General features: G+C 45.7%; 4 annotated features.

Annotated features, from left to right (window-relative positions):
- Nucleotides 6,691-6,790: an enhancer, noted in NCBI's record as "active region_8553". NCBI's record gives its function as "activates an Ori minimal core promoter by ATAC-STARR-seq in GM12878 lymphoblastoid cells {active_cell/tissue: GM12878}" and the evidence as "EXISTENCE:reporter gene assay evidence [ECO:0000049][PMID:35858748]".
- Nucleotides 6,811-6,880: an enhancer, noted in NCBI's record as "active region_8554". NCBI's record gives its function as "activates an Ori minimal core promoter by ATAC-STARR-seq in GM12878 lymphoblastoid cells {active_cell/tissue: GM12878}" and the evidence as "EXISTENCE:reporter gene assay evidence [ECO:0000049][PMID:35858748]".
- Nucleotides 7,361-7,460: a silencer, noted in NCBI's record as "silent region_5849". NCBI's record gives its function as "represses an Ori minimal core promoter by ATAC-STARR-seq in GM12878 lymphoblastoid cells {active_cell/tissue: GM12878}" and the evidence as "EXISTENCE:reporter gene assay evidence [ECO:0000049][PMID:35858748]".
- Nucleotides 9,011-9,110: an enhancer, noted in NCBI's record as "active region_8555". NCBI's record gives its function as "activates an Ori minimal core promoter by ATAC-STARR-seq in GM12878 lymphoblastoid cells {active_cell/tissue: GM12878}" and the evidence as "EXISTENCE:reporter gene assay evidence [ECO:0000049][PMID:35858748]".

The raw sequence follows: 12,126 nt of genomic DNA on the forward strand, positions 1-12,126 counted from the left end.
CCTCTTGGGTAGCTGGGACTACAGGTGTGCTCCACCACACCTGGCTAATTTTTTAATTGTTTTGTAGAGATGAGGTCTCACTATGTTGCTCAGGCTGGTCTCGAACTCCTGAGCTCAAGTGATCCTCCTGCCTCAGCCTCCCAAAGTGCTGGGATTACAGGTGCAAACCACTGTGCCTGGCTATCTCCATATTAAAGATAGGAAGGTGAAGCAAAAAGAAATTAAATCATTTATTCATGGCCCCACAGCTAGTAAGTGGCACAACATGGAGTCACTCAAGAAGTTTTTCTCTAGAGTTCATACCGTGCCCAGGCTGTAGTGTAGTGGCAGATTCATAGCTCACTACAGCCTCAATCTCCCCTGGCTCAGGTGATCCTCCTAACTCAGCCTCCTGAGTAGCTGGGACTACAGGCATGCACCATCACACCCAGCTACAGAGTTCATGTTCTTAACAACTATGTTCTACCTCCTTTGTCATGGGCTTAGTTAAAATGGAAGTCAAATCATGATTCCATGTACCCTGCATCTCTTACATTGGGTTATAGAAAGCTTCTAGCAATGGTGTCATACTTGACTCTGACTAGTCCACCCTGCCAATATTCCCATAGCATCAGTTGTATATATACACTCACCATGCTCTTGACTGGCCTGTCTTGGTACTCTATCTGTTCAAAGGGATGTGGATGAGAGCTTGATTGTGTGTAAGCTATATGGATGTATATACACACACACACACACACACACACACACACACACTATATGGGTATATATATGGATATAGATGCTGTTTCTAAATGCAAACATTCTTGCATAGGCATCAGCAACCCTCAAGAGCATTGTGTCCTCTGTTTCTGTCCTTGTTCCCCTGTTCTCAACTGCTCTCCAGCACAAGTTATTCTCATTCTTTGGAAAACAGAAGTGAACTATGTTTTTCTCCTAAATCAGTGTAATGGAGCAGATTATGTACAGATGAGTAGTGGGGGAGACATTGGCAGCTGGCCCTGAGCAGGGCTGAGTAATGGAAATCCAAGTTATCTCAAGCCTCAGAATTATTCAAGTTTCCTTATGTAACCTGTGTGTCCAAGGTCAGACTAGTCTGAAAACAACATAAGGTTACAATTTCAATAACTTCCAGTCTTTAAACCTAATGTGATCAGGGATTTTGTTTATGTTGTTCATTATTATATAGTGAGTGTCTAGAACAGTGCCTGGAATATAGTAGACATGCAATAAATGTTAAGTAAATTTATTGACCAAATTCTGGTCCTCTTTGGAGGCATGATGGTGTAGTGGTAGAGTGATATGATTTGGCTCTGTGTGCCCACCCAATCTCATGTCAAATTGTAATTCTCAGTGTTGGAGGAGGGATCTGGTGGGAGGTGGTTAGATCATGGGGCAGAATTCCCCCTTGCTTTTCTCATGATAGTAAGTTCTCACGAGAGCTGATGGTTTAAAAGTGTGTGGCACTTCCCCCTTCGTTCCCTGTCTCTCTCTCCTGCTCTGCCATGGTAAGACATGCTTGCTTACCCTTCGCCTTCCACTGTGATTATTAGGTACCTGAGGCCTCCTCAGCTATGCCTCCTATACAGCCTGCAGAACTGTAAGTTAATTAACCCTTTTTTCTCCATAAATTGCCCAGTCTCTTGTATGTCTTTATAGCAGTGTGAGAACAGACGAATACATACATCATTGACTTTAGAATCAAATAGACTTGTGTTTGAACTTCACAGGCTGTGTGACTCCTCATTAGTTATGTACCTTCTCTGACCTCTTCCTTCCTCATTGGTACAATGAGGCTAATATTACCTACCTCTTGGATTGTTGTGAGAATTAAATGTGATAATTGATGTCAGGCACTCGGTATATTGAAGCTAGCTATGGCTCTGCCCTATATCACAAAAATCCTTGGAGCCCAGCCTGGTCACACACACCTGTAGTCCCAGATACTCAGGAGGCTGAGGCAGGAGGATGGCTTGAGCCCAGGAGTTTGAGGCTGTAGTACGCTATCATCGTGCCTATAAATAGCCACCTGGACAATATAGCAAGACCCTGTCTCTAAATAAATAAATACATTTTCAAAAAGAAAAATCTCTGGAGACCCTGTTGTTCCTCAGGGTTCCCCTCAGACATTTCTGTAAGTCTTCAGGGGTGTCTCAGGTATGTTCACCAGTAAGTCTTCGTAGCTACCAAATCTCACATTTATCTTGGATTCTCCGCCAACCTCCCCCTCCTCTACTCTGCTTTCTTTTGGTCTTGTCTGACTGTGAGCTCTCGCCTACCATTTTGCAGTGCCTGCCATGTAGGGTACTAATATCTGAGCAAATAGTGCTGCCTCCTGCTTAAAGCCAATGATGTCAACACTGAGTCAATAGCACCAAGGCCGCTGCAACTGCCACTCCCTAAAGCTTAAGGTATTCACCAAAGGTACCACCATCCCCCATTGCAGCTGCCTTGTGCCTGTCTCCTAGGTCACCTCGGAGAGCCTCCTAGCTGAGACTCTACCCACTGAAGCAGGAAGTGTTCCTTGGTGGCTCCTATTCCACAGGTCCCACGTGGATCTGCAAGTTGAGGAAGATCCCTGAACCATACTCGCTTCTGCTTGTCCCCACAGTGCTGTCTGTGTGTCCTCAATATCTCAAAGAAATTTTGTGTGACTGTGTCTACATCAGCTCTCCATCACCTAAGCCTCCTATCCTATCCTGTGTGATTAGGACTTAATCACAGCCATGGGATGCTGGGTGGGAAACAACTGGAGAGACATACACCCAGCAGTTACTTGAAACCACTCCTTCCCCCCACCAGAAGCCAAGGGCATTATTACCAACTAGTGTTTTTCAGTTTCTCTCTCTTATTTATTTATTTTTAGAGACAGGGTCTTGCTCTGTTGCCCAGGGTAGAGTGCAGTGGTGTAAGCATAGCTCATTGCAGCCTTGAACTCCTGGCTCAGTACATTGCAGCTAGCTATGGCTCTGCCCTGTATCAGAAAAATCCCTGGAGCTCGGCCTGGTTGCACACGCCTGTTGTCCCAGCTACTCAGGAGGCTGAGGCAGGAGGATGGCTTGAGCCCAGGAGTTTGAGGCTGCAGTACACTATCATTATGCCTGTCAATAGCCACATGGGCAATATAGCAAGACCCTGTCTCTAAATAAATAAATAAATTTTTAAAAAGAAAAGATCTCTTGGGGCTGGGCACAGTGGCTCACGCCTGTAATCCCAGCACTTTGGGAGGCCAAGGCAGGTGGGTCACCTGAGGTCAGGAGTTGGAGACTAGCCTGACCAACATGGTGAAACCCTGTCTCTACTAAAAATACAAACATTAGCCAGGCATGGTGGCGCAAGCCTGTAATCCCAGCTACTCAGAAGGCTGAGTGAGGCAGGAGAATCACTTGAACCCGGGAGGTGGAGGTTGCAGTGAGCGGAGATTGTGCCATTGCACTCCAGCCTGGGTGACAAGAGCGAAACTCCGTCCGAAAAAAAAAAAAAAAAAGAAAGAAAAGGAAAGAAAAGAAAAAAATCTTTGTAGACCTTGTCATTCCTCAGGGTTCCCCTCAGACATTTCTGTAAGTCATCAGGGGTGTCTCAGGTATGTTCACCAGTAAGTCCTCTTAGCCCAGGAGTTTGAGACTGTAGTACACTATCATTATGCCTGTCAATAGGCACCTGGGCAATATAGCAAGACCCTGTCTCTAAATAAATAAATAAATAAATATGTTTTTAAAAAGAAAAATCTCTGGAGACCTCCCACCTCAGCCTCCTGAGTAGCTGGGGCTACAGGCACGTTCGCCGTGCCAAGCTATTTTTTTTTTAATCTTTATTTTTGTAGAGATAGGGTCTCACTATGTTGTCCAGGCTGACCTCAAACTCCTGGCCTCAGTGATTCTCCCACATCAGCCTCCCAAGGTGCTGGGATTACAGATCTGAGCAACCCACCCAGCCTCTCACTCTCGTAGAAAGAGTCTTTTCTGGTGGCTTCCAGGTCCCTCATACAAAAAAAGGCTCCTGACAGGGTTCTCCACTGGCCCTATACCCAAGACCAGACATGAGCCCCCATCTAAAGACAGCTTGTTTCCAGCCCAGAGCCTCATCACTTTTAAAAGGGAAAAATTCGACAGTAAAAGCATTAACTTTCTTAGGCCTTTCAGATTTGATCAACTGAAAATTAATACCGAGAATTACAAAATTAAGGACTTCTTGGATAAACATTAGAAAAACAAAACTGATTAAGATTATTTGGTAAAAAGCAGAGGTAGAAAGTTCTACCCTTTAAGAACAGATTAGAGGAAAAATTGCACAGAAGCCGGTAAGGAAGGAGTTATCTGCAGAGCCGGTGTCTGATATGCAAAATGCTGATAAGGCTTAGAAACTCAGAAGACCTGAGGAGGCCCCCTTTGATACTGTTTGATAAAGCAACAAGCGCAATCACAGTGCCAGGGCCTGTGCTAGGAATTGTATGTACCCTGTCTTTAATCTTCAAACAACTCTGTGTTACTGGAAAAAACACCTGCCCACACCCACTCCCTCCCCTACTCACCCAACAGGGCCTGGGAGGAAAAGAAGTCCTGTTTCTCAGAGCAAATGTAACCTGGCAGCCCTTAAAAATACAATTGGTGGCCAGGCATGGGGGCTCATACCTGTAATCCCAGCACTTTGGGAGGCTGAGGCGGACAGATCACCTGAGGTCGGGAGTTCAAGACCAGCCTGACTAACATGGAGAAAACCTGTCTCTATTAAAAATACAAAAATTAGCCAGGCATGGTTGCACATGCCTGTAATCCCAGCTACTCGGGAGGCTGAGGCAGGAGAATCACTTGAACCCAGGAGGCAGAGGTTGCCGTGAGCTGAGATCGCGCCATTGCACTCTAGCCTGGGCAACAAGAGCGAAACTCTGTCTCAAAAAAAAAAAAATACAATTGGTAATTTTAAAGCTTTAGCAGAGTTCTTGGATATGTGGAGGGAGAGCAAAGTTTGCAGCAGGAACTGGAGAGAGATGAATTGGTTGCGTTATGTTATGCCGTTATTATCCCTTAGGAAGGATCTGTGTTTCCTCTAGAAGGTGAGGGCAGAGGAGGAAGAGAAAGGAAAGAAAAGGAAGACAAAGTGGCTCGAGAACATATCGGGAGACTGGATCCGGAACAGGGAAAAATGCCAAGGGACAGACAGACTGAGAGAATACATAATATGTATGTAGAGAGAGCTTATATCTATAGAGTGCCATATATGTGTGTGTGTGTGTGTGTGTGTGTGTGTGTGTGTGTGTGTGTGTGTGTGTGTATAAATTTAGTGTAGAGAAAGGATCTCGCTTTGTTGCCCAGACTGGTCCAAAACGCTTAACTTCAAGTGATCCACCCACCTCAGCTACCAAAGTGCTGGGATTACAGGTGTGAGCCACCACACCCAGCTAACAATATTGATTTTTTAGTATGCCTAGCAGGATATAAATCCCTCCATGCCAAGCTTGTCTAAACCGCGGCCTACGGACTGCATGTGGCCCAGGACGGCTTTGGATGTGGCCCAACACAAATTTGTATACTCTCTTAAAACATTATGAGATTTATGCACGGACCATTTTTTTTTTTTTTTTTTTTTAGTTCATCAGCTATCGTTAGTGTTAGTGTATTTTATGTGTGGCCCAAGACAATTCTTCTTCTTCCAATGTGGCCCAGGGAAGCCAAAAGATTGGATACCTCTGCTCTATGCAAAGCCTTAGGTGACTGAGTTTTTGTTGAAATTAAGGAAAGAACTGAGCTCTACAACTGGATTGACATGGCATAGGTTAGAGGCAGCGTGTGACAGGTGATGAGCCAATATTCCAGAATTTAAATAATCCTGGGGAAGTAGGAGCTCACAGCCTGGGTGATTGTATGCATAGGACGATTGTATGCATCTTCAGAAAGTTTTCAGAAATCCCAGGGGGGTAATGGACTGCCTATACCCCTGTGACGGGTATTTGAGGACATCTTACCTAAAAATTAAGGGCCAGGAAGACTCTCCAACCTCTGTTTATACCTAAAATTACATAGTATGTATGATTTTTGAATCAAGTTGTCATTTTGCATCACATTTATAAACATTTCCAATGTCATTAGAATGTCTTCACTTTTAAAGTTTAGCGCAATGTGGGTACACCTTAATTTTAATTCTATAAAATTGACTATTCTGGCTGTTTCCAGCCTTGTTTTATGTTTTGTGTTTTTTTGCAATTATAACTACCGCTATGATAAACATCTGCGCAATACATTTTTACTAGGCAGCAGCTTAACCATGCCAACGTAATCCAGACTGACCAGGATTCTCAAATTTAGTCTCCATCGAGAGACCAAATATGCAAATGGACAATGGCCAGACCATATATGAAAACTGAACTCTGATCCACAGCCTCTGTAGCGACCAGCCCAGGAAGCCAAACCACAGCCTCTATAGCAATCAGCCCCCAGTCAGGACTTGGTCAATCATTGCCAGGTTCCCTAAATTTTGGCCCTCCTTCCAACTCAGGACCAACCAGAGAAAGCCAGATATGCTCTCTACACCAATTCTATAGGGCACCCTGCTTCTCAGTAGCCTGCCTCCAGCTCTTTCATGCCAACAACCTCCTATCAGAGCACACCTGAAGCCCTCCCCTTTTTTTCTCACTCTAAAGCTTGCCTACTCCCCCGCCTGACTTTGACTATCTGCTAAAACCAAGTGCTAGTGGCTGACTCCCTCGCTATAGAGAGCTCTCCATAAATCTTCTCTGCTTGTTCTCATTCGGGTTTATGTCTACACTGAGATATGCAAAGCGTATCTCAGGTCAACCTGGTAGACACTGAACCCAAAGGACTATCACAGGCCAAACACTACATAGGAGGCTTTTCTATCATGAGCCATTGGAAAATTCCTGGCCATTTCTAGAAGGACATCTAGCAGAAAAACACCACCTCCACACGCCATGCATACCTACCAGATAGAAGGCCCTGGGCCCCATGTTGGCTTTGACCACTTCATGCCTTTGCAGTACCAGAAGCAGCAGAAGCAGAAAGCCACAGAAAATAAATCAGCTGCTGAGTTCAAATTGCTGCAGTCCATCACGCTGCCGTGTCGCCAGCTCGTGGTGCCAGGCCAATTACTACCACAAGCACTGAAGTCACTTTTCAAAACATGGTCAAACAAACTCCAGCAGGGCCAGCTAGGCGTTAAAACACTCAGACACAATTGTCAAAGCAAAGATTTATGTGCCAGTAAATAAAAGTCAGGGCTCCAGTTTAGTAATCACCTGGCCGACAGCCTGAAGGTTAACCCTTTCTGGACAGACCTGACCCACTGTCAATTCAGAGAGACAAGAATAAAGAGGGCAGAAGGGGATGGGGTGGGAGGGAGCAGGGTGGGGTCCAGTCAGACTGAAACTGGGGTGATTTTCTGTGCTGTCATTCCTAGGCCACCACAACTTTGGGGGCTGTGGGTGACTGTCAACTCAGATCATCTGTGAGGCAGGTGTGACTGTTTCCTATGTCTTCTTAAGCCTCTTAAGTTCACACAGTTACCCAGAACCATCAGGAAACGGAGATAGATTTTCTCCCACTGTGTCCAGCACTGAGGTTCCCTTAAGGTTTGCAAGTTTCTTTTTAGTATTTAACTCTTTGAAGGACACATGACAAGTAGACCCACCCTTATTTGATTAGGACTCCCTCACCAGGGGTGTTAGAAGTGCCATTGCAGATGCTTACATTCTAGGCACACAAGAAAAAATCTTAAAAGCTCCTCTCTAGCCCAGCATTCTGAGAAATGATGCTGTCTAACTTTAAATAGGCTTTTAAAGTCTATTAAGCATCATTTACAAATCCCACTGGGTTTTAATCTCTGCAAACCTTCCGAGTTGGTATCACCATTATCATTATTCCCTTCTGAGGCTCAGAGAGTTTAACTGACTTGCCCATGAGCACGAAGCTAGGAAGCGACACAGCTGGGGCTCATCTGACTCCAGAATCCAGTGGTACTTTGGGGATGGGGCTGGAGGGTTAGGGGTGGGAGGCGGGTAGGAAATCCAGCTTTCACTAGAGCTGGAGGTGTTTGCCCTAAGCTTCCTGATACAAGGGGAGGGTGGTGATTTTGAGGGTTTACAAGGCTCACAGGGAGACCCATGGCTGGAAATCACCTCTGGGTTCTCTTCAAGCCCCGGAAAGGGAGTGCCCGAATGAAACAGCTCTTCTGGTATTTTAATGGAACAAAAAGCCCGAAATACAAGGAGCTGGCTGGTTGCTGGGACGGCCCCTAACTTACTCTTTAACTGTAATGAACTGGTCATTTCCTGGATGTAAAGGAAAAGTTTAAGAAAAAAGTGACAGAGAAACCCCCTCCCAGCCCCCCAGCCCCCCAGCCCAGCCAGCTGCAGCGAGGAAAACAAATGAGCTTCTATAGATGGAATCCTTTGTTTGAATAGAGGCTAATTGTGGCTCCTCTGCTTGTAACCTGGGGTCAGGTGGCTGACACCCAAACGGTTCCCTCAAGGCAGTAACTACGAGCCCCTGGAAGAATGAGCACACTGGGACTCGGGAAGGGACCACTTACAAGAAAGGTCTGAATCTGGAAGAAGCAAAGGATCAAGTCAGACGTGTGAAGAATAAGGAGCCCGTGGATCTAGAGAGAAAGAACATTTTTCTGTGAAGAGTTTCCCCTCCTTATCCTCTCTCCCTGCCACATTTAGGTAAAAAGACCCAGTGATAAATAGCACCTGCCAGCCATGGTAGGCATGACCAGAGTGGCATGCGGCCTGTGCATAGGGTGCTGGATGAGGGCAGAGGCACCCATGGAGGTGCAAGCCTGTTTCGCTGCCCCTCCTGACCCCAGCATCCCTAGCCACCAGTGTGATAAAGTGAGTGCCTCCAGAGGGCAGGAAGGCAGAGACCCTGCCCAGCCCCTTCTCCTGTCCTCTGGCCTCCTCATCTGCCTCGCGCCACTTCCTTCCACCTAGCTCTTCTCTCTTGGCCAGCCTCCCACATGCAGGTGCCAGTGAGAATAACACTTGCACTTAGATTGATTCTGTATTTTCTCTCCTTTTTTTTTTTTTTTCTTTTTTGAGACGGAGTCTCTCACTGTGTCACCCAGGCTGGAGTACAGTGGTGTGATCTCGGCTCACTGCAACCTCCGCCTCCCAGGTTCAAGCAATTCTGCCTCAGCCTCCTGAGTAGCTGGGATTGCAGGCACCCGCCACCACGCCCAGCTAATTTTTGTATTTTTAGTAGAGACAGGGTTTCACCATATTGGCCAGGCTGGTCTCGAACTCCTGACCTCGTGATCCGCCTGCCTCGGCCTCCCAAAGTGCTGGGATTATAAGTGTGAGCCACTGTGCCCAGGCTTCTCTCCTTTTTACTAAGCTGTCCAGGACACGGTCCCCTCAGGGTGCTAAACACCCTCCTGGCCTGAGAACAAAAGAGAACAGAGCTGGAAGTGGAGGAAGCTATTCTTCTGCTTTTCTTGATCTCTGATCCTATCCCCTTCTAGCATCCCAGTCAGCTTGTGCCCCCTGAGTGGCATCTTCCTGCTGTGGGACTCTTGTGAAAGCCACGTCAGGGCCCTGTGGTAGTGAGGGGGAGAGAGCTACCAGTGACTCTGATGGGAAGGAGATCTCCCTGTGCTGTCGCCATCACAGGGCTGGGCCATGTGCTTCAGAGACTGCCTGAGAGAAGGGAGCTCAGGATGTTTGAGGTGGGACTGAGTTTTGACCTGAAGACTTTTGAAATGTTTGTGAAAAGAGGAGAAAACACACAGGGAAATTCAACAATAAACCTAGGCTTTTAAAAGAATCCAGAAGTGAGTCTTGAATTTTCTAAGAGGCAAGACATGGATACAACTTTAGGGCAGATGGTTACTTAGTTTTGGAAAAACCAGTGTAATGGCTCATTTAATTATGCAAATGTGGGGATATAGTAGCTGGAAGGGAAAAGTGCTCTGGAGGTAAAGTGAATGGGTGTGTCTGTGTTAGAGTCTGCCATAGATCTCTGCTGCTTCCTTAGGAAAAACTAGATTTGCTGAGAAAGAAGTTGACCTGTGCCAGACCGATGCTACATTGTAGCTGCCTGTGTTCTTGTAGCACTCATCATAGATGAAGACTCTGCTTTTGTGAAGTCTTTGTGGGGACTGGGAACACACAGTTGAGATTTTTTTTTTTTTTTTTTTTTTTTTTTTGAGACAGAGTCTCGCTCTGTCACCCAGGCTAGAGTGTGCAGTGACGTCATCTCGGCTCACTGCAATCTCCGCCTCCCAGGTTCAAGCGATTCTCCCACCTCAGCCTCCTGAGTAGCTGGGATTACAGGTGTCTGCCACCACGCTCGGCTAATTTTTTGGGTATTTTTAGTAGAGATGGGGTTTCACCATGTTGGCCAGGCTAGTCTTGAACTCCGACCTCAGGTGATCTGCGTATCTCGGCCTTCCAAGTGCTGGGATTACAGTCGTGAGCCACAATGCCTGGCCAGTTGGGGAGATTCTATATGCAGCCCAGCCCTACAGACTGCTTTGGGATTCCCAGGAGAGACCCTGTTGGCCAAGACATTGGTGTCCCCATTATGGGCATTACTAATAATGAGGCCCTTTTGAGTGGCTTCTCTAGTATCAAACATTCACTAGGTAAGGCTTAGGATTTCTTTCTTTTCTTTTCTTTTTTTTTTTTTTTTGAGACAGGGTCTCGCTCTGTCGCCCAGGCTGGAGTACAGTGGCGCAATCTCGGCTCACTGCAACCTCTGCCTCCTGGGTTCAAGTGATTCTCTTGCCTCAGCCTGCTGAGTAACTGGGATTACAGGCACACGCCACCACGCCCAGCTAATTTTTTTGTATTTTTAGTAGAGACAGGGTTTCACCATGTTGATCAGGCTGGTCTTGGACTCCGGTTCAGGAGTTCTTATCCTGAGTCCGTGGACCCGCCGTGAGGTCAGTGAATAAAATTCAGAGACTCTATGTACTTGAATGAAAAAAATATATATATTTTTTACTAACTTCTAAATGATTTTAGCGTTTTCTTGAGTAGTAATACAGGTAAGAAACTACAGTCATATTAGCAGAACTGGTGACTTTATCACTGCTATGGTTTAGATATGGTTTCTTTGGTCCCCCCCCAAAGAAATTGATCCCCAGTGTTGGAGGTGGGGCCTAATAGGTTTTAGGGTCATGGGGCTGAATCCCTCATGACTGGCTTGGTGCCTCCTCGAGGTAATGAGTTCTCACTCTACTAGTTCTTATAAGAGCTGATGGTTAGAAAGAGCCTGGCACCTTCCCCCTCTCTCTTGCTTCCTCGCTCACCACATGATTTCTAAACACCAGCTCCCCTTTGCCTCACACCATGAGTGGAGGCAGCCTGAAGCCCTCACCAGAAGCAGATTCTTATGCCATGCTTCTGGTACAGCCTGCAGAATCATGAGCCACATCAACCACGTTTCTTTATAAATTACCCAGCCTCAAGTATTTCTTTATAGCAACAAAAAACAGACTAAGATAGTCACCAATAGAAACTATGGATATTTTCATGTCACCTTACTGTTGTTAATGTTATCTTGAAGTATTGTGTACATTTATTACTGCTTGAAATTTACAGTAGCTATTAGGCCTGTCCCTAGAAACTGGCAGGGTTAAACTCAACTTCCAGTTGGCATCAGGTGATAGAATCACTTGCAGGTGGTTTAACACTGGACTGGACTCAATCCTTGGCTCAGGCCATCCTGAAAGCCTATAAGCTACTGATCCATTTGGGGAAAGGGGAGAGTACCTACGCAGTATTTACAGCCAATGCACCTATCTTGAACACAACTCATTTTACCAGTGAAAATTAATATCTAACATTTATTATGCTAGCTAACAAGCCCTCTGGTGTTAATATGAAATAAAGATGGTTGAAGTTGTAGTGGTGTGGCCCTCTGGTTAGATCTTTTTTGCTTAGAGTTCTGCTTATAATCTTTCAGATGTTATTCATTCCTGAAGAGTGCCTTTCCTTTAGAAGACACCAAATGTTAATTAACTGCTCCCAGTGTGTAGATGACATATATATCATATTAATTATGCTGAAATATTTAAAAGTAAATGATCACAATATAATGCAAATCAAAGCTGACCCAGAAGTTTGGTAGAAATTGTAGGTTATCTGACACATCCAGTGAATCCTTGTGC

The sequence above is a fragment of the Homo sapiens genome, chromosome 14 (assembly GCF_000001405.40).
Source record: "Homo sapiens chromosome 14, GRCh38.p14 Primary Assembly".
Taxonomy (NCBI): Eukaryota; Metazoa; Chordata; class Mammalia; order Primates; family Hominidae; genus Homo; species Homo sapiens.